The 22,475-nt window shown below is 36.7% G+C and overlaps 1 long non-coding RNA gene across 3 annotated transcripts in view, besides 1 other annotated feature; it reads left to right on the top strand.

Moving 5' to 3' along the window:
- The window catches only part of LOC102724210 (uncharacterized), a 396,780-nt gene that overhangs the window by 282,971 nt on the left and 91,334 nt on the right, over positions 1–22,475 (top strand). The gene's annotated exons all lie outside the window — the stretch shown is intronic.
- Positions 4,659–4,828: an enhancer, noted in NCBI's record as "experimental_73368 CRE fragment used in MPRA reporter constructs". NCBI's record gives its function as "activates a minimal promoter by MPRAs in K562 erythroleukemia cells, with activity observed for both the introgressed and non-introgressed 4:128103997 variant alleles {active_cell/tissue: K562}" and the evidence as "EXISTENCE:reporter gene assay evidence [ECO:0000049][PMID:34662402]".

The following is a 22,475-nucleotide window of genomic DNA, read 5'->3' as shown; positions in this document are numbered from 1 at the left end:
TGCTGTGAAGAAGCTTTTAACTTTATGTGATCCCATTTGTCCATTTTTTCTTTGGTTGCCTATGCTTGTAAGGTTTTACTCAAGACGTCTTTGCCCAGACTGATGTCCTAGAGAGTTTCCCTGATGTAGTAGTTTCATAGTTTGAATTATTAGATTTAAGTCTTTAATCTGTTTTGATTTTATTTTAGTAAATGGCAAGAGAAAGGGGGTTTAGATTCATTCTTCTTCCTATAGATATCCACTTTTCCCAGCATCATTTATTGGAGAGACTGTCTTTTCCCCAATATATGCTCTTGGCACCTTTGTCAAAAATGAGTTCACTGTAGATGTATGGATTTGTTTCTGAGTTCTCTGTTTTTCCCCATTTTTCTGTGTATCTGTTTTTATGCTAGTACCATTCTTTTTTGATTACTATAGCTCTTTAATATAATTTGAAGTCAGGTAATGTGATTACTCCAGTTTTGTTCTTTTTGCTCAGGATGGCTTTGGCTATTCTGGGTCTTTTGTGATTCCATATACATTTTAGGATTGATTTTTCTATTTCTGTGAAGAATGTCATTTTAATTTTGATAGGGATTGCATTGAATCCATAGATTGCTTCAGGTAGTATTGATATTTTAACAATATAAATTCTTCCAATCCATGAACGTGGAATATCTTTCCCTTTTTTTGGTCCTCTTCAATTTATTTCATCAATGCTTTGTATGTTTATATGTCATATATGTTTTCATTGTAGATATTTTTCATTTCTTTGGTTAATTCCTAGGTATATATGTTGCTACTATAATGGGATTACTTTTTTATTTCTTTTTCAGATTGTTCACTGTTGGCAAATAGAAATCATATAGAAATGCTACCACTTTTTGTATGTTGACTTTGTATCCTGCAACTTTACTGAATTTGTTTTTCAGTTTTCATAGTATTTTGGTGGAGTCGTTAGGTTTTTCCAAATATAAGATTGTATCATCTCAAAACAAAAATAATTTCACCTTTTCCTTTCCAGTTTGGATGCCCTTTATTTATTTCACTTGTCTGATTGCTCTAGCTGGGACTTCCAGTAGTATGCTGAATAACAGTGGTGAAGGTGGGCAGCCTTTTCTTATTCAAGAACTTAGGGGAAAGGCTTTCAGTTTTTCCTCATTCAGTATGATACAACTGTGGGGCTGTTATTACGTTGAGATACATTCCTTCTCTGCCCAGTTTTTTTGAGGGTTTTTATCATGATCTATTGTTGAAATTTATCAAATGCTTTTTCAACATCAATATAAATGATTATATAGTTTTTATCCTTCACTCTGTTGATATGATACATCACATTGATGATTTGCGTATGTTGAACCATCCTTGCATCCCAAGGATAAATCCCATTTGGTCATGATAAATGATCTTTTCAAGGTATTGCTGCATTCAGTTTGCTAGTATATTTTTAGTATTTTTGCATCCATATTAGGGATATTGGCCTGTAGTTTTCTTTTCTTGACATGTCTTTCCCTGGTTTTGGTATCAGGGTGACACTGGCCTTGTAGAAATGAGTTCAGAAGTATTCTTTTCTTTTTAGGGGGATAGCTTGAGTAGCATTGATATTAGTTCTTCTTTAAATGGTTGGTAGAATTCAGCAGTGAAACCATCAGCTCCTGGGATTTTCTTTGCTGGAAGACTTTTTACTACAGCTTCAATCCCATTACTTGTTGTTAGTCTGTTCAGGTTTTGGATTTCTTCATGGTTAAATCTTGTTAGGTTTTATGCATCTAGCAATTTATCTATTTCCTCCAGATTTTCTAATTTATTGGTATACAGTTGCTCATAGTAGTGTATTAGTCCATTTTCATGCTGCTGATAAAGACGTACCCGACACTGGACGATTTACAAAAGAAAGAGGTTTATTGGGCTTACAGTTCCACGTGGCTGGAAGACCTCACAATCATGGCAGAAGGTGAAAGGCACATCTTACATGGTGGCAGACAAGAGAAGAACACTTGTGCAGGGATACTCCCCTTTTTAAAACCATCAGCTCTTGTGAGACTTATTCACTGTCAAGAGAACAGCATGGGAAAGACCTGCCCCCATGATTCAGTTACTTCCCACTGGGTACCTCCCACAGCACATCGAAATTCAATATGAGATTTGGGTGGGGACATAGCTAAACCATATTATTCTATCCCTGGCCCCTCCCAAATCTAATGTCCTCACATTTCAAAACCAATCATGCCTTCCCAACGGTCCCCCAAAGTCTTAACTCATGTCAGCATTAACTCAAAAGTCCACAGTCCAAAGTGTCACCTGAGACAAGGCAAATCCCTTCCGCTTATGAACCTGTAAAATCAAAAACCAGTTAGTTACTTCATAGATACAATGGGGATACAGGCATTGTGTAAATACAGCCATGCCAAATGGGAGAAAATGGCCAAAATAGAGGGCCTACAGGCCCCTTGCAAGTCCAAAATCCAGTGGGGCAGTCAAATCTTAAAGCTCCAAAATGATCTCCTTTGACTCTATGTCTCACATCCAGGTCACACTGATGGAAGAGGTATGTTTTCATGGTCTTGAGCAGCTCCGCCCCTGTGGCTTTGCAGGGTACTTCCTCTCTCCTGGCTGCTTTCACAGGCTGGTGTTGAGTGTCTGTGGCTTTTTCAGGCTCATGGTGCAAGCTGTTGGTGGATCTACCATTCTGGGATCTGCAGGATGGTTGGCCCTCTTCTCACAGCTGCACTAGACAGTGCCCCAGTGGTGACCCTGTGTGGGGCTCTAACCCCACATTTCCCTTCCGCACTGCCCTAGCAGAGGTTCTCCATGAGAGACTTACCCCTGTAGCAAACTGCTGCCTGACATCCAAGTGTTTCCATACATCCTCTGAAATCTAGGCAGAGGTTCCCAAACCTCAATTCTTGACTTCTCTGTGCCCACAGGCTCAACACTATGTGGAAGCTGCCAAGGCTTTGGGCTTGCACTTTTTGAAGCCACAGCCCAAGCTGTACCATGGCCCCTTTTAGTCATGGCTGGAGCAGCTGAGATGTAGGGCACCAAGTCCATAGACTGCAGATAGCACAGGGACCCTGGGCCTGGCCCATGAAGCCATTTTTCCTCCTAGGCCTCTGGGCCTGTGATGGGAAGGGCTGCCATAAAGACCTCTGACATGCCCTGGAGACATTTTCACCATTGTCTTGGGGATTAACATTTGGCTCCTTGTTACTTATGCAAATTTCTGCAGCAGGCTTGAATTTCTCCTCAGAAAATGGAGTTTTTTCTTTTCTATCATACTGTCAGGCTGCAAATTTTCCACACTTTCATGCTCTCCTTCCCTTATAACACTGAATGCCTTTAGCAGCACCTAAGTCACCTCTTGAATGCTTTGCTGCTTAGAAATTTCTTCTGCCAGATACCCTAAATTATCTCTCTCAAGTTCAAAGTTCCACAAATCTCCAGGGCAGGGGCAAAATGCCACCAGTTTCTTTGCTAAAACATAACAAGAATCACCTTTGCTCCAGTTCCCAACATCTGTGACCACCTCAGCCTGGACCTTACTGTTCATATCACTATCAGCATTTTTGTCAAAGCCATTCAACAAGTCTCTAGGAAGTTCCAAACGTTCTTACATTATACTTTCTTCTCCTGAGCTCTCCAAACTGTTCCAACTTCTGCCTGTTACCCAGTTCCAAAGTCGCTTCCACATTTTCAGATATCTTTTCAGCATTAACCCACTCTACTGGTACCAATTTACTGTATTAGTCCATTTTCACGCTGCTGATAAAGTCATACCTGAGACTGGACAATTTACAAAAGAAAGAGGTTTATTGGACTTATAGTTCCATGTGGCTGGGAAGGCCTCACAGTCATGGTAGAAGGTGAAAGTCATGTCTCACATGGCGGCTGGCAAGACAAGAGAGCCTGTGCAGGGAAACTCCCCTTATTAAAACCATCAGATCTTGTGAGACTTATCCACTATCATGAGAACTGCATGGGGAAGACCCACCCTCATGATTCAGTTACCTCCCACCAGGTCCCTCCCACAACATGTGGAAATTAAAGATGAGATTTGGGTGGGGACACAGCCAAACCATATCAAGTAGCCACTAATGATCCTTTGAATTTCTGCAGTTTCAGTTGTAGTGTCTTCTTTTTCAGCTCTCATTTTAGTGATTTGGGTCTCATCTCTTTTATTCTTAGTTGCTCTGGCTAAAGATTTCTTAATTTTCTTTATCTTTTCAAAACACCAACTTTCCATTTCATTGATTTTTTGTACTGTTTTCTTCATTTCAATTTCATTGATGTCTGCTCTGACTTTTATTTGTTTTCTTCTACTAATTTTGGGTTTTGTTTGTGCTTGCTTTTAGTTTTTTAATATTCCTTGTTAGTTTACTTATCTGGAGTTCTTTTTCTTTTGGGATGTGGGCACTTACTGCTAGAAATTTTCCTCTCAGTACTGTTTTCACTGTATCATAATTTTTGGTATATTGTGTTTCCATTATTATTTGTTTCAAGAAAATTTTCAATTTCCCTCTTAATTTCTTTATTTACCCATTGGTCATTCAGGAGCATATTGTTTAATTTCCATGTGCTTGTATAGTTTCCAAAATTCCTCTTATTATTGACTTCTCGTTTTATTCCATTGTGATCAGAGAAGAAGCTTGATATTATTCCAATTTTTAAATGTTTTAAGACTTGTTTTGTGACCTAACATATGGTCTATGCTTCAGAATGATTCATGCACTGAGGAAAAGAATGTGTATTCTGGAGCCATTGGATGAAATGTTCTGTAAATATCTATTAGGTCCATCACCACAAGTTACTTTAGGTCTGTACTTCTGAATTTCTCAGCATAGACAAAGTAGAAAACCAGGTAAACTGTATGAAGTGCTACCCACTGGGAGGATTCCTTCACCACATTTTTTTTCCAGTGGCATTTCATAGTTGGCTTTGCTCAGTGGGTGTGTAATTGCAGGCTCCTTTTAGGTTGTAAAAACATTATGCTAAACCATCTATAAACTAAGACTTTTTCTTCCTTGCTCAAATTATCAAAGGTAATTATCCATGAAGTCCTGAGTGTGGATTAGGGGAGAGGGGACAATAAAGCAGGAGTAGGTGGCATAGGAGTGTGACCACCTGCTCATGTAACTTATTTCTGCCATCCACGTCTCTACAAGCCTAGTCACATATATACTATTTTCACTTGATGATGATTTGCTTCCATCAGCCAACATTGTAGTTTGTAAGTATCATGTAACATCATCTCAAAATGGATATCTCAGGTCATATGGTTCCTTAATGTCTCATACTCAGAGGGTACAGTCTCCATTAGGACCCACTGATAAGCTAGAAGCTATTTTTCAAAAGGAAAATAGTTACCCACAAGTTATCTACAGAAGAAGGCACATTTATTTTTCTAAAATTTGGTGATTCTGTTCTCCTTTAGGATCTTGCCAAAGTCTTCATCCAGCACCTGTGTTTGCCACAGACACTTTGACTATCATTGAATCTGCCGGATCCTAAATCTGAAGTGACTACCTGTATTTCAGCTTAGTCCTGCTGCAGAGCTTTCCATTGCTCTAGGCCCTGCCTAAAACTGGCAGCCTTTGGGGTTATTCAATAAATGGGTCTGAGCAGTGTATTCAAATATGATGTATGTTACCTCCTAATTCCAAGAAGACCTACCAAGCATTGTACCTCTTTTTTAATGATAGGTGAGTTCATGGCTTAACAACTTATCTTGAACTTTGGAAGGAAGGTACCACTACCATGCTTCAGATCACTGGACCCTCTGAAATGACTTCAAGATAATAGGCCTCTAAATTTTCACTCACAAATGGAAAATTTGCTCTGCTGTTCAAATTATTTAAGCCATGTAGCTTCTCTTTAAAGTTGTGATATTTCAAGGCTCACTAAAGTCCTTGGGCACTCAGTAAATAGACTTTAAGGATTTAACTTTTCTTTTATCTCTGTTTTTCTTTTTTTGGATGAAATGGTTAACTGACCATAGGTGGGAGTTGCACCATCATGGAAATACCCAGGGCAGATGGCAATTACATAGCATGCCTATACACCCTGTCCCTCTCTCATCCTTTGCTCATTGAAGATGTCACTCATTGTCCCTCTCCTATCCTTTGCTCATTGAAGATGTCACTCATTGATCATAGCCCTCTTTCTGAGCCTGAATATTGTCTCAGTATTCTTAATACAGGCCTTAAACAAGCCAATCAATTGATAAGAGTTGAAATCTGTTTGCTATTACATGAAACTTCTGCATGAGAATCACTGATGTGTTTGTTAAAAATGCAAATTTCCTGGGCTCACAACAGAGCCTATTGAATAAGAATGGTTGGGCTCAGGACTTTATTTAACAGGTATTTAAAAAGACAGCTTTAATTTTCCCATCAGCTTTGTTAAACTTTATAGATAGGTTTCTTTATGACCCAAGGCCCTGACCTACCTTTTCTTATGGTATTTAACTTTAGAAAACTTTCTATTATAACTTCTTTCTCTTCCCCTTTGAGATGTAAATACTCCCAGCCTCTTGCCAGTTTTAAAACCCAAGAATATCTTTCTCAAAGAAAACATAAAAATGGCCAGGAGGTTTATGAAAATATGCTCAACATCACTAATCAGCAGGGGAATGCAAATAAAAACTACTGTGAAATGCCACTTCATACCCATTAGGATTGCCATTATCAAAAATACAAGAAATAACAAGTGTTGTACCATTTGCCACAATATGGATGAAGCCGGAGAACATTATGCTAAGTGAAGTAAGCCAGATACAAAAAGAAAAATATCACATGATCTCATTTATTTGTAGAATCTTAAAAAATCAAATGGGAGGAAATGGGAGACGTAGGTCAAAGGATACAAAATAGCAGATACATAGGATGAACAAGTCTAGAGGTCTAATATGCAGCATGAGAAGGTAATAGTAGTGTTTTATATTTGGGATTTTTGCTAAATGAGTAGATTGTACATGTTCTTGCCACATTTAAAAAAATGGGTAACTATGTGAATTGTTGGATATGTTAATTGGCTTCACTATAGTAACCATTTTACTATCTATGTATCTCATAACATCACGTTGTATACTTTAAATATACACAATACAATTCATTAAAAAGAAAAAGAAAGGACCTGAGTGTCATTACTTTGAAATGTAGTCATCAAGAGAGTGCCTCTATTGCTCACCCTCTGAGGAGGGTAAGAGTGTAACTTCAATAAGTACCAACTAGAAAACACAGATGGTCTAATCACATTGACCAGCCTCCCCTTGACATCCTCCAGTGCTTTTCTACTAGGCCTTGCTAGCACTTAAAAACTCCCCTGCCTTTTGTTTCATCACATTGCATTAAATCTCTCTCCCATCTTGGAATAGTCTTGAATAAAGTCTTCCTGTCCTGTTTAAGCTGTTTGTTGCAACTTTACTTTGATAGTTTCACAGGTGACTTTCATTAATATTCAAATATAAGACACATCTCTCTAGATACTGAAGGGTAACCTCTAGGGAAATCAGCAGTCATTAACAAACAAACTCCACAAGCACACATTGCTGTTTCTCAGTCATTATCAGTAGGATTTAGTCTTTGAAATGACTTTTTCAATAGGAGAGTTTTAACTAAGCAAAACCTCTTATTTAGTAAATCTGATAACAAATTGCATGTATTTGTCCCATGACTGAAAAGGGCAAGCAGTGCAGTCTGTAGTAATGACTCAGAATGATGCTAAGCAAACATATAAATAAGATCTTAGTGTAGGGGTAGAATTGGTTTAGAGAAAAACTGGGGTAAATTACCAGCATCCAAACTTTGCATTTTTATCTCATAAAGGCTCTCAGTTCTTCTCATAAAGCACTCATAAAGCTCAGAGGCATCAGTGGCAGATAGCAGAATAACACTGTTAAATGGATATTCTGAACTATGTTAGGTTGCCTTTCATTTTAAACTGAAGCCAACAAGAAGGGTGATCTTCTGTAGACTGTTCAGTCTCTCTGGGTTTCGGTTTCTTTACCTGTAAGATAAAGAAGGCTTAACTCACTTTGTAAATATTTTTATGTGTTTTGGCTTCTCTACTTTTCCCTCTTTCTGGTCTCTTCCCGCTAGGAAAGTTAAAGGTTCAATGATTCTAAGAGTCTGTGAACAAGACTGATTTTTTTAAATGTGTTTTCAATATTTATGTAACCTAGGAAACCAAAAACTTGAGTTGGATAAGAATTCTTGTGTGAGATGAACATTTCCACTGAATATTTTACCCACTTTTATTGCTTATATGCTGGTCATATTATTTTCAGGTGATTAGATAAGTGTACCATTTGGATTGCATTCAGGACTATTAAAATTATGATAGATATTGAACAACTTGAGGACAGAAGAAAAATATGTGGTTATTTTTGTTTTATTATAAGTAGAAATGTCATGCTGCTATTTGGTTTTGGTATAACAAATTACTTGACATTCTATTTACTTCTTTTCTGGATTCATGAAGATTTTTGCAATAAATATCACTGTTCATGGTTATCAGTGTTTTATGGACATAAGTATAAATAAAACTAACCAAAATTTCAGGGGCATTTTTCTTCCTTTCAACTATTTATCCATTTATGACATAAATATTGACCGAATACCTACTATGTGGCATTGCAGAGGCTACGTACTGGTGACGCAAAAATTGAAAAGGTTCAGCAAAGAACTACAATATAGAGAGGTAAGTGTTAATGGAGCTAAGTACCAAGTATTAAAGGAGCACAGGGATGGTGTTATGACCTCATGTGGAGAGGTGAGATTTTCTCAGGGAAAGCTTCAGAGATGATTTGACCTGAGTCTTGTACAAAGAGCAGGAATTTGCTAAGTTGGGAAAAGAAGAGAGCAGAGGATAACAAAGTTTAGAGGAAGGAATTTGGGAGAAATCATTTTCTAATCAAAGATACAGAGGACTTTTGTGCCAATTTCCTTATTTGCATTTCCAATAGGAAGTCACTAACCTTGGTTTTACAGTGAAATTTGGTGTGATGTTGATGAAATGATAACTGGGCCATTACTAAGATTCATGAACATTTTCCCGTGGAAAAATCCTCATAAAGTCTGCTGTTTCTCACAGATTCGTGACCCTGTAAAGCAAAAGGCCTATAAAGAAAAACATTTGTTCTCATGAATCTAAAATCTCATACCCTCTGCTGTGATTATAGCAGGTTGACTTGAACCTCTATATAACAAGGGAGTGTAAATAATATCAATGCAGCCCTTCCTTTTTTGGTTAGGGAGTTATGCCTATTTGGTATTTTCTTATTCACTCCAGGTGATATTAAACACACAGTTAATTAATTTGGGAGGATTATGTCCCTTTAATTTGCAGAATAAGAGAAAAATCAATTTGACCAACTAAAACTTGAAAAGAAATCTTTAAGTGTGGGTATATTTTTCAGTTGTCTCTGGGCTCTTCAAGATTAAATTATAACTTTGATGTTCCCCTTTCAACATGATTTTATACCTTATTAGTCAATATTATCAATTCAATGTTCTTTGAAGAAAATCAAAATCAAAATATTTAAAAAGGTGATTGGGATATAATACATTGTTTATTAACAGTTATCAAAACTTTCTTAAGAATGTGTACCACATGCTCTCTGATGACATGGGAAAATTAAACCAAATGATACTGTTTAGATCACTGCACCATCTCTAGTAAGTTGAATATGTTTTAGGTCTTAAATTAATCTTTGTTGAGATTAATAATAATTAGAGACACTTTGCCTCTATCATCATAAAGTTAGGACATTGGGAAAGTATTTTTTTTAAAATGGTGTTTTCTTTAATTTAAATAGCAATGAGAAAATGTTAGGAAGCTCAGTGGTATCTTCCAGGAGATTTACATTTCTCACTCAATTTCTTGATTTTAGATTTCTTTCCAATAGAAAAGCTTAAATTTTGGCACACTTTAAAGCCTAAAAAGATATTCAATGGTCACTGTAGGGAGAAACCCTATTTACAAAGATGTTTAGAGCCCACAGCTTCTTCAGGGATTAAGGATCTTATTTCACCCCTTCTTATTGGAAAAAGAGGAATTAAGTGATGCATGTACAACCTAGATCCCAGAGTTTTGTGCCTAAGGAATACGTAAAATTTTATGAACTGAGTTATGCACTTTCCAAGTTGGATTTGTTTTACGTACAGGTATCAGTTTCTTAGTTTTCTTAGTGTTTTTAGGAGCTTTAATACAGGATATTCTTTTCATAATTTGATTGACTTGTGTTGCTCAAAATTTTCTGAAAAAATGATTTAATGTTTTGCAAGTGAAAATGATGCATGTTCTTGTTGGTTTTATTTAGTTATAACAGGAAGAAAAGAACTATCATATAACATCTAGGACATTGAAAATTAAACTTTAGTTTGGTTTCTTCCATCACAGCAAGGAAAGTACAAACAGACCCTGATTTAATGATGGTTCAACTTACAATTTTTTGACTTTATGATGGTGCAAAAGCCATACACAACTAGTAGAAACCATATTTCAAGTATCCATACAGCAATTCTATTTTTTACTTTTAGTACAGTATTCTATACATTATATGACATATTCAACATTTTATCTTAAAATAGGCTTTATATTGGATGATTTTTCTCATCTTTAGGCTAATGTAAGTGCTCTGAGCAAGGGTAAGGTAGGTTAAGCTAAGTTACAATGACTGGTAGGTTAGATGTGTTAAAAGCATTATTAACGTAATGATATTTTCAAGTCACAATGAGTTTATGAGGACATAATCCCATCGTACGTCAAGGAACATCTGTAGACTACTGCTGAGAGACAAGGTATACTACATCTGAGTAGTTCCTTTGTGTATTGAGAGTAAAAATCTTGGTAGTTCTCACATAATTTTTATAAGAAAACACATTTTTCCTGATGAAATGAAAATGGGGCTCTTTTTAAGGTAAGGACTAACTAATTGATACTACAAGGAAATATTGCATTCATCTGAAGGTGAGACATTAATCAACTGTTAAGTTAGAAAGTACAGTTCACAAGACTACTCTCACTTCTGACCCCAGTTGCAAGTTTCGGGGTTCTCAAGACTGCCTTCAGGTTTGATAATTTGCTATGAAGACTCACAGAACTCACTGGAAACTGTTATATTCAAGAGTTATGGTTTATTATAGTGAAGAATACCAATTAAAATCTGCCAAGGGAAGAAGTGCATAGGGAGGAGCCCAGAAAAGTACCAAATGTGGAGTTTCCATTATTCTCTCCCTGTGGAGTCATGGCCAACATTACCTTACCAGCAAGGATGTGTGACAACTGTGACAGCATGTACACAGTATTGCCAACCAGAGAAGCTCATCTGAGCGTTGATGTCCAGAGTTTTACTGGGGCTCCATGGTTGACTGCCTGAATGGCTGCCCCTTAGCCTTCATCTCCCTAAGCATAGATGCCACATGTCTCAGAGCCCCCGTCATAAATCACATTGTTTGACTGTTTGGTGGCCAAGGCCCCAAGTAAACAAAGACACTCTTCCTGGAGATCACCTCCCAGGTAATGAGGGCAAAAGTCAGGCCTTTCTTTGGGTAAGATTAACTCTTTAATACACAAAAACCAGTGTGGATAACTGGAGGAAAGAGCTGGATATTTTGAAAGTGAAGTCTCCTTTTCAGAATGTGAATTTTTATTTTTTAATTTTTTAATTCTTTATTTTTTATTTTTTTTGCTGCAGAAGCTACATAAGTAGTCAAAAGTGATCAATTAGGAATCAGATCTCAGTTTATGTTCTCTGGTTTGTATGTCTGCTAGGCATGTAATCCAAAAAGCTGTTTTATTTTCTTAGCTTCACTTTCAAGGATGATGAAACTAGAATAATCAACTTTGCCTATTTCTCTAGATTGTAGTGAAACCTAAATAATAAAAGGTAAAATTGCCTCACAAAGTACCATACAAATGTACTTTATAATATTTAATATCTCTGAAGAAGAGCTTGCAGTTACAAGTTATCAAACTATTTGAGTTATTAATTTTTGAATTGAAATTTTGAAGAATATTGTCAGCAAGGGACATGACTGTTTTAAGTAAAATTTAGGGCTGCAATATAAAGAATAAATGTTTAAATATTTTACTTCAGATATGTAATTACCAGCATAGAGAAGAGGGCATTTTTATAGATAAAGCTTTTTTACTCTGCTAAAGTAAAAAAGCGTGAGCTTTAAAGAGAAATAATCCCAGAAACATGATATCACTAGGGGACAAATTATTCATATAATGCATTGACCTACACATCTTATAGGGCTCGTGTTATTATTAACAGTGAAATATTTAACCATGGCAGGGATATATTATGCTAATACATTTTATATTGTAAATAATAATGTCAAATATAATTCATAGTTAACTAGTAGAAAGCTGCCTTTGGATAAGACCCTGTACGCCTTGGGTATATAGGCATTAGTTTAATTTGTTTAGCAAAATGGAGGTCCAGAAAAATAATACTTGTACTTTTTCAAAATTGTTATCATTTGAGAAGCTGAATAACCAGCAGTTATATTCCAGTTACATGCAGAACATTTCATTTACAGAATACTTGTAGGAAGAAAATATATCTATGCACACCCATGGACTTTTGCTAGCGGTTATAAACTTGATATATTGTCCTGGTTTGTTCTTTTGTTGGAAAAAGAATAGAGAGAAATTATCCATCTGGCTCCTGTCCTGAAGTTGAGCCCAAGAGGGAGGTGATGTAGGGTAAAGACTTAGAATCTCTGCACGAAATGAATGTCTTGCTGACATTGTGAAGCTGTGTGTACTTATGAAATGCCAAGGTTCTCTGCATGGTCCCTGTTACCCACCTCTAATTCTTTCACACACAAGGTCTTCCAGATGTTCCTAAGGAGAATGTGTCTCTTTAAAATAAAAGTTATATCAGCCATCATTTTCCACATATTCCTATGGCACCCATTTACAAGACTTTGTAATAAATTCCCAAACATCTGCAGATAGTATCTCCATAATTACTTTTGAAATTACTAGCCACCTGTCAGCGCAGAGATTACTACTATGAAGAATGTCAAAGGGGAATTAAAGTTTTTTTTTATTAGGTCACCAGCATTCTACCATAGACATATTGTGGGCAGATAGGACCATTTCAGCACACAATTTTATTAGGTACAATAAATTTGAAGTTTACATGTTCCACAGTTACTGCATATGCATATTTACTGTGTGCATATGTATTCAGCAGTAACTGAAAACTGCTTAGGATGGCAGTAGTACCTTGGGGTTTGAGTTTCAGATGAAAAAGAGATGTTCAGCTTTTTTGTTTCTTGTACAAAAATACATTTGCTTAAAAAGCAACTGGAGCTACTTAGGACACATTATGCTGCTTTGCCTCATGGAAATGCTGTGAAATTTAATTTTGCAAATGCATAACTGTATGGGAAAGGATAACTCCTAAGATTTATCCTAGGGAGGAGAGAATAAAAGAGTTAGAAAGCCGAAGCACTAGTTTGATGTAAGTGGGGAAACAACTATGAAATATCTCATGGTGCCCATGTGAGAAATAAGGGCAAGGGAGATTGATTTGCCCTTGACCTCTGCTACCCTTCCAGGCCTAATAGCCAGCTAATATTTGAATGCTTGTGTTGTGACAGGCCTTATGTTGAGCATTTTATGTGTCATCTCATTTAATATGCAAAACTACCCACAGAATTAGGAATTATTATTATTATTGTTATTATGACTTCCAGACTACAGTTTTAAGAGATAAAAAATCAAAGATTGCCCATGATGACATAGCTAGTCAGTGGTGAAACAGGGACTTCCATCATCACTATTGAGTATGCAAAGTCACCAATTCTCAATGTTGCTAAACCTAGTGGCCATTTCTCAGTCCTCTTCTTGTTTGACCATTAGTAGAATTTGAATAATAGAATATACACTCGAAGTATTTTTTTCTCTCTTGGCTCCAGGGATAGCATAAACTCACTATTTTATTCATTCTGGATACTCCTTCAATCTTAGATGGTGCTTCCTCATCTCCTCAGGGCTCAGTTTTGATCTTTCTTTCCCATTCATGCACAGACGGGATGATTTCATCTGGTAGTTTCAAAACATGCAATACCAGCTCTAGGCAAATGACTCCTCAGGTACATCTCTAGTATGGTCTCCTCCAGACTCAGGGTCTCCTCTAGAGTTAGCTATTTTCTGTCTCTCCCTCTTTAGTTGGCTACAGAGAATAAGACCTGAAGTTCCAGTGTGGACTTAGAGGCCCCTTAGGTCTTTAGTGTAATACACAGCAAATTTCAGCTTCCTAGAGGAGGCTTCACTTGAGTTTAGGGCTCCAAACCCAGCTAAAAATAAAGTTAGTTTTTTGACCCTCTTCCAGTATTCCCTGTGTTCTGCTTCCCTTAGGAGCCATATGGCAAGGGACAGCTATGGTCTGGGGCAGAATTCATGCATTAAATCTAAATTCCATCTCAACTTTTAACTGTTCAACTTGCCCATTATTACACTTTTTGAGGGTAACTGTAGTTGTATTGAATCTCGAGTGTGTATAGTGGTGTTTTTAGATGATGGCTTTTTGGTGGAATTTGAATTACTCCTATATGATATGACATACTAAGATATGATATGATATATATTATACACTTTGTAGGAAGTATAGGCATACCTCAGAGATACTGTGGGTTTGGTTCCAGACCACCATAGTAAGGTGAACTATCACAAAAAGCAAGTCACATGATTTTTTTAGTTTCTTAGTGTATATAAAAGTTATTTTTACATTATACTGAGGTCTATTAAGTGTGCAATAGCATTATGTCTAAAAATGTATATACCTTAGTTAAAAATAATTTATTGCTAAAAAGTGCTATCATCTGAGCCTTCAGCAAGCCGTATTTTTTTTTTTTTGCTGGTGGAGGGTCTTTCCTCAATGTCAATGACTGCTAACTATCAGGGTGATGGTTGCTAAAGGTTTGGTTGGCTGTGGCAGCTTCTTGAAGTAAACCAACAGGTTTGAAGTCTTGAAGTTGTATGCCAACAATAATGTTTGGCATATCAATTGACTCTTTTTTTTCACAAAAGATTTCTCTGTAGCATGTGATGCTGTTTGATAGTATTTTACCCACAATAGAATATTTTCCAAAATTGGAGTCAATCCTCTCAAACCCTGCTGCTGCTTTATTAACTAAATTTATGTCATATTCTAAATCATTTTTGTCATTTCAACAATATCCACAGCATCTTCACCACAAATAGATTCCATCTCAAGAAACCACTTTTCTTTTGCTTATCCATAAGAAGCAACTCCTCATTCATTCAAGTTTTATCATGAGATTTCAGTAATTCAGTCACATCTTTAGGCTTCACTTCTAATTCTAATTATCTTTCTATTTCCACCATACAAGCAGTTACTTTCTCCTCTTGTCTTGAACCCCTCCAAGTCATCCATGAGGGTTGGAATCAACTTCTTTTAAATTCCTGTTAATGTTGATATTTTAACCTTCTCTCATGAATCACGAATGTTCTTAATGGAATCTAGAATGGTGAATTCTTTCCAGAAGGTTTTCAATTTACTTCACCCAGATTCATCAGATAAATCACTATCCATGACACTTATAGCCTTACAAAATATATTTCTTAAATAGTAAGATTTTAAAGTCAAAATTACTCCTTGACCGATGGACTGCAGAATGGGTGTGTGTTAGCAGGTATGAAAACAACATTTATCTCCTTGTACATCTCTATTAGAGCTCTTGAGTGACCAAGTGCATTGTCAAGGAGCAATAATATTTTGAAAAGATATTTATTATGAGCATTAGTTCTCAACATTGGGCTTAAAATATTGAGAAAACATGCTGTAAACAGTTGTACTGTTATCCAGTCTTTGTTGTTCCATTTAAAGAGCACAGGCAGAGTAGATTTAATATAATTCTTAAGGCCCCTGGGATTTTCAGAATAATAAATAAGCATTGGCTTTAACTTATTTACCAGCTGAATTAGCCCCTAACAAGAGAGTAGGCTTGTCTTTTGGAGATTTGAAGCAAGGCATTGACTTCTCCTCCTTAGCTCTGAATGTCCTAGAAAGTATCTTTTTCCCAATAAGGCTTTTTTTTGTCTACATTAAGAATGTTTAATGATTTGAAAATCTACAATGGTGGCTGTGTAGCCACCCTCATCAGTTATCTTAGCTAGAACTTCTGCATAATTTGCTGAAGCTTTTCTGTCAGCATTTGCTGTTTCATCTTGGACTTTTATTTTATGGAAATGATTTCTTTCCTTCAACCTCATGAACCAACCTCTGTTAGCTTTCAACTTTTCTTCTGCAGCTTTCTCACTTCTCTCAGCCTTCATGGAATTGGAGAGAGTTAGGGGGTGCTCTGAATTAAGCTTTGGCTGAAGGGAATATTATGGCTGGTTTGATCTTCTATTTGGACTACCGAAACTTTCTCCATATGAGCAATAAGGCTGTTTGTTTCACTTTCTTATACTTCATGGAATAGCACTTTTAATTTTCTTCAAGAACTTTTTCTGTGTATCTACAACTTAGCTAATTATTTGATACAAGAGGCCTAACTTTCAGCCTTTCTCAGCTTTCAATATGCCTTCTTCACTAAGCTTAATTATTTCTAGCTTTTGACTTAAAGTGGGAAACATGCGACACTTTCTGTCAATTGAAGACTTAGAGGTCATTGTAGGGTTATTTATTGGCCTAAATTTAATATTATTGTGTCTCAGGGAACAAGAAGGCCTGAGGAGAGGGAGAGAAATGAGGGAACGATTGGTCAGTGAGCAGTCAGAACACATACATTTACTAAGTTTGTCATCTTATGTGGACACAATTCATGGTGCCCCAAAACAGTTATGATGGTACCATCAAAGATCCCTGATCACAGATTAACATAACCGATATAATAATTAAAAAGTTTGAAATATTTCAAGAATTACCAAAATGTGACAGAGACATGAAGTGAGCCCACATTGTTGGAAAAGTGGTGTCAATAGGCTTGCTTGACACCAGGTTGTCACAAACCTTCAATTTGTAAAAAATACAATAACTGGGAAGCATTGTAAAATAAGCTGTGACTGTAATAAAATACTAATTGTCTTGATGCTTTTGAATACTGGGCAAGAGTTTCACAAATAGAAGAAATGACATATTCACAGCTATGTTGATGAGCACAAGCAAGCACATCTGGGAAGTGACAAATAGCGTGGCAGGTGCACAGGATACACAGAGACAGTGATAGAGATGATGCCAAAGGTGAGCAGAATAAGAAACATTAAGTGTCTTGGACTTTGAGGGGGCCTGTAAATGACATGATACAATGGAGTCAGCAAAACTAAATATCCGCTTTCTTGACAACAAGGCTCACATGATAGAAAATAGCATAGATATGTGGCAATGGTGGGCTTCCTTGGACTGAAGCCCAGAATTAGGTAGATTTATTCACTTTGTCAAAGGCAGCACCAAACAGCCACATACCACCACATATGGAGTATTGTAAAGAGGAGCAGGACAGAATATCTGCCTCTAAGAGTTCCACTGAGAAAGAAGAGAAAGGAATTAGTCTTTCTCAAACTTCTCCATCAGAAAATGAATGCTACTTCAATGAAGAGGATTAAGAAGTAGGTTAAAAGACCTAGTGTTCAGAAGACAAGAGGAGTGGAGAAGAAACATTGCACCTACATCTTCCCCAGGATTGAATTCTTTAGGCATTGGAAAATGACTGAAGAACTTTAAGCAGGAACTCGAGGCATATCCGTTTGATGGTTGTATGTGTGGCTTGGTAGGTAGATGTACAGCACGTGGGGCCTTGAATGTTAAGCCAAAGGTTTTAAATGAATTTACTTTAGTACCATCAAGTAAAGTTACTAGGAGCAGAGAGGCATCCATGTTACTGATCAAAAAGTGATTCATTTAGAAGTGATATGTAGGGTTAAAGGGATTTGAGATAAACTTCAAGAGGGGATCCTGAATAGGAAGCAATGGCCATAGTGACAGGCAGTAAGTGAAACTATGGAGATGTTTTAGAAATGCAAAGAAAGAACAGATGTGAGTGATATTAGTGAAGAATGGATGAATAGAACTTGATTAGTGGTTGGAGAGGGAAAGAGGGCTAATGAAACATCAGCCTTGGATTACTTTACCCAGGTGATCAGGAGAAAACAAATGAAAAGGAATGGAGAAGAAGGTATTGGCTGGAGGAAAGAAATTCAGGGCAAGTATATACTAGAAACACATTAGATAATTGTCAAAAAAATGTGGTTACTGATTGATAAAGACAATATATTAAGTAAAACTCTTCCTCTTTGACAATTATATTGAACTTAATGTGAAGACTAATGTTTATCGAAGAGGCTGGCTGAGATGAAGGAGAAGAATTGGAAAAGTGTACCAGTAAAAATGGAGGACGTTGACAATTTACTCAGAACAGAGATACTCTTGAGGTCAGTGAAGGACCTAGTAGAGAAGTAGGGTGGAGAGAGGGAGTCAATTAGAAAGGAATGGGAGCTTGGAAAAAGATATCCATAAAAGGGTTTGTGCCAAAGTTACCAAGTATATTAGGGTTCCCTAGAGGGACAGATGTCTATAGGATAGATGTCCATATATCTTATATATAGGATACATGTCCATATATCTTATATATAGGATACAAGTCCATATATCCTATATATAGGATAGATGTCTATATGAAGGGGAGTTTATTAAGGAGAATTGACTCAGATGATCACAAGGTGGAGTCCCACAATAGACCATGTGCAAAGTGAGGAGCAATGAAGCTAGCCCAAGTCCCTCAAAAGTAGGGAAGCCGAAAGTGTAACCTTCAGTCTGTGGCGAAGGCTGGAGAGCCCTTGGCAAACATTGATGTAAGTCCAAGAGTCCAAAAGCTAAAGAACTTGTAGTCTGATGTTCAAGGGCAGGAAGCATCCAGCACGGGAGAATGATGAAAGCCGGAAGACTCAGCAAGTCAGCTTCTTCCACCTTCTGCCTTTTTCTAGCTACCCTGGCAGCAGATTGGATGGTGTCTACCCACATTGTGGGTGGTCTTCCTGAGAATGAGTCTTCCTCTCCAAGTCCTCTGACTCAAATGTTAATCTCTTCTGGCAACACCCAGAAACACTGGGATACACCCAGAAACAATACTTTGTATCCTTCAGTCAAGTTGGCAGTTAATATTAACCATCACACCAAGTATGAATGATAGTGTTAGAGGTTAGAGATTATTTTTTTCTTTAGTACCATCAAGTAAAGTTACTAGGAGCTTGATAAACTTGGATAATTCAAAAGAAGGTACATTTTAGGAGTCTATGTGTGAGACCCTGAGAGTCAACTCACACAGTGGACATATCTCCTGCCACTTGGATAGACTGAATGTAAGAGAATTTTGAACCACTGATTCATTTCTCTTTTGCTTCACTTTGCTTACGTTCATATATAAAACCTACAGAACAAAACAATGTGTGCAGAATTAATGATTAGAAACCATAGTTCTTCCAAATGACCATAACTGGACCCTTGAGTCTGGAAGTCTTTGAAGAAAAGCAGGTGTATCACATTTCTAAGTATTTCCAGTGTCTAAGCATTCAATATCCAGAAAGTCAGTGCTTCAAAAATATTTCTTTTAGCAAGTTTTAAAAGAAAATTTTAATCCACAATATGGTTAAGTCTTGTGATTCTTCCCATGGTGTGTTGAGTTTCTCTGCCAAGTGAGACTCACTTTTACCATATGCATCAGAACTTAGTTATATATTAGGTGGCTTAGGGGGGATATTCCGGGAAACATCTTTCTACTTGTCATTTGGTCTAGACGAATTTATAGGAATACTTATTTGCCTGCCAATTAGCAAACAAGCCTTCTAATATGTCACTTGCTATTTTGCAGTCACAAAATCCTCATTCAATATCTCATTTTTTTAAAAAAACCAAAACACCAGTGTTACAGGCTAGAATAGAATAAACTCCCTCTTTTGTAGTTCAGAGGAATTGTTTTTCTCTTGAAATTAAAACATTGATGAGACCTTAGATTATTACGTAGAATAGACCAACCTTCTACTCAGTGCAAGGATCCCTTTTATAGAATCCATGATAGTTGATATCCAGCCTCTGCTTGAATAATTCTTTAGAGCAGCTCTTTTTTTTTGTATTGAATCAAAACGTACATTTTAATTTAATCAGTTGTATCAATTGATAGGTCTACTTTTTGATACTTTGATCTATCTCTTATCTCAAATATCTTTAAGTCTTTGAAGGCAGCCATTCTGTCATGGTGCCTCAGATGTTTGTCTGCTCTTTGTTGGGTGTAAAGTGTTATCTCTACTACTGTTCACGTAGAATGGCTTCCAGTTCTTTCGGCATCCAGGATGTACTCTTCTAGATAAATTATTTTATTAAAGTCCCTGTTATTGAAGAAGTAGCTATTACTTCGTTACAATATCATTTAGCCAGCATCATTTAATTTTTCCCCCATATTTCAATCAAAATAATTTTGAAAATGCCTTAATATAAAAAATTAACCAATTTTATTTTAGACTATAGACGAGGTCTTGACTTGCTAAAAGTGAATGAGGCCTGAATCAAAACAGGAATTTCAGATATAAAAAGCGTAACTTTCTATTTCTTCTACTGTTCAGAGATACAAACTTATCTACTATTCAGAGATACAAACTTATCTACTGTTCAGAGATACAAACTTCCATCAAGTAGAAAGCCAGTAGCAAATGTTTCGTTGTATAAGAATTGTTTTATAAGTTGAACAAGGCCAACTGACTTCTTTCCAGACCATCCTTGCAATATTATCTTTCTATATTTATTCAGGGACTATAATTTCTAGTATATGAAGCATGGCCTCTGGTGAAGGGGACAGGCAGTGGGGCATGGGGTTCTGGAAGGTATAATCCATTCTAAGAATGGATAGTGTGAGGAGCAGCCTCTGGTGCTCTGCATTTTTTGAGTTGCAGAAAGTTCCTGGGTGGCTGGGAAAGCTATCAGCCTCCATTCATGAAATGGGACACATCACTGGCAATCTCTCTTTCCAGGCAATGCAAACAATCATATCTGCTTGAAATCATGTTTATAGAGAAGATGCAACTTCCTGATTTTCTTTCATGGTCTCTTCAGAGTGAGCTGTAGGATTGTAGTTGTCTATTTTGGGTATTACAAGCATATCATGTAGAACCATCTCTAAACCTAGCCAATTTTTTTCTTCCTTAGTCAGCTGGTCACAGGCACTTCCCATGAGAACACAGATGCAGGTTGCAGGAGAGGAGAGGAGAGGAGAGGAGATAATGTAGCAAGAATAGGGTCCATGGATATCTGAGTCACTTGCTCATGCAGCTTACTTGTAGGTTCAGGACCTCTCAAGCCTGATTTTGTATATTCTACTTCTATTTGATGATGAAACTACAGCACAGGCCCAAATTTATGGTGTGATGATTCAGACAACACTCAATCCATGATAGGAATCTCAGGTCACATGGTAACTTCATGGTTGATGATCAAGTATTCACGTCTACTAAGGCCTTATGGTATGACAAAAGGAGAATCATGATCTCCAGAGGAAGGCAGAGCATTGCTTAAGATCTAACAGGTCTGTGCTGTGATTTACCTGTAAGGGCCTGATAAAAGCTCTGTACAGCATTCCTATCTGCCAAAGAGACTTGAAGCACCAGTGCTTTAACTGGATCATATAACTCAAGTCTCAGAGCAGCTTGCAGGTCATCCTTGAAAAGATGCAGTGCTGTATCTTGTTCTGAGTGCCACTCAAAACTGACGGCTTTTTGGGTTACTTGGAAAAAGGTCAGAGTCGCATGCCCGGAAAAGGTACATGTTATCTCTACAATCTAAACAGGGCCATTAGAGACTATTTCTTTCTGAGTGGTAGAGGGAGTCAGACAGCAGTATGACCTTCACCTTGGAAGGAATATGAACTTAGAATGATTTTACAGATTTGTATGTCAAAAAATGGCATCAAAAATAATAAAAAATTTAAATTTATGTCAAATAATATTTTATTGAAACACAGCCATTCTCATTTGATTACATAATCTATTTCTGTACATAACAGCAGAGTTGATTAGTCGGACAGAGATGATATAGATCATAAAACCTGAAATACTTGCCATTTGCCCCTCTATAGAAAAAAATTATTGCGTCCTGCAAAATACAATTCTAGGCTAATAAATCTATAGAATCAAAATTAAATGGGAAAAATCCTGGGATAATATGAAACACCAAAAGTTAAATAATAAGTTAGAGACTTGAAAAAAAATTCAACAAATGGTGAACAAATTTAGAAGTGCTGTTAAGGAATTTTTTCTTGAGATTGTGGATATATGTTGTTTTTATAGGTGACTCCATGTAACATTTGCAAATAAAAAATATTAAAATTATCCCAACTGGATTCACAAAGTCAGTATAATTTTGCATCCCAAATGAAAAATTGAAAACAAATAATGTTAAATGATATTAAAAATAATGTTAAAAATCCTCTAAAAAATTAGAGGATTGGGGCTGGGCACGGTGGCTC

This window comes from Homo sapiens, chromosome 4, assembly GCF_000001405.40.
Source record: "Homo sapiens chromosome 4, GRCh38.p14 Primary Assembly".
NCBI lineage: Eukaryota > Metazoa > Chordata > Mammalia > Primates > Hominidae > Homo > Homo sapiens.
The sequence above is the reverse complement of the archived record's forward strand: the minus strand, read 5'-3'. Positions and strand labels throughout refer to the sequence as shown.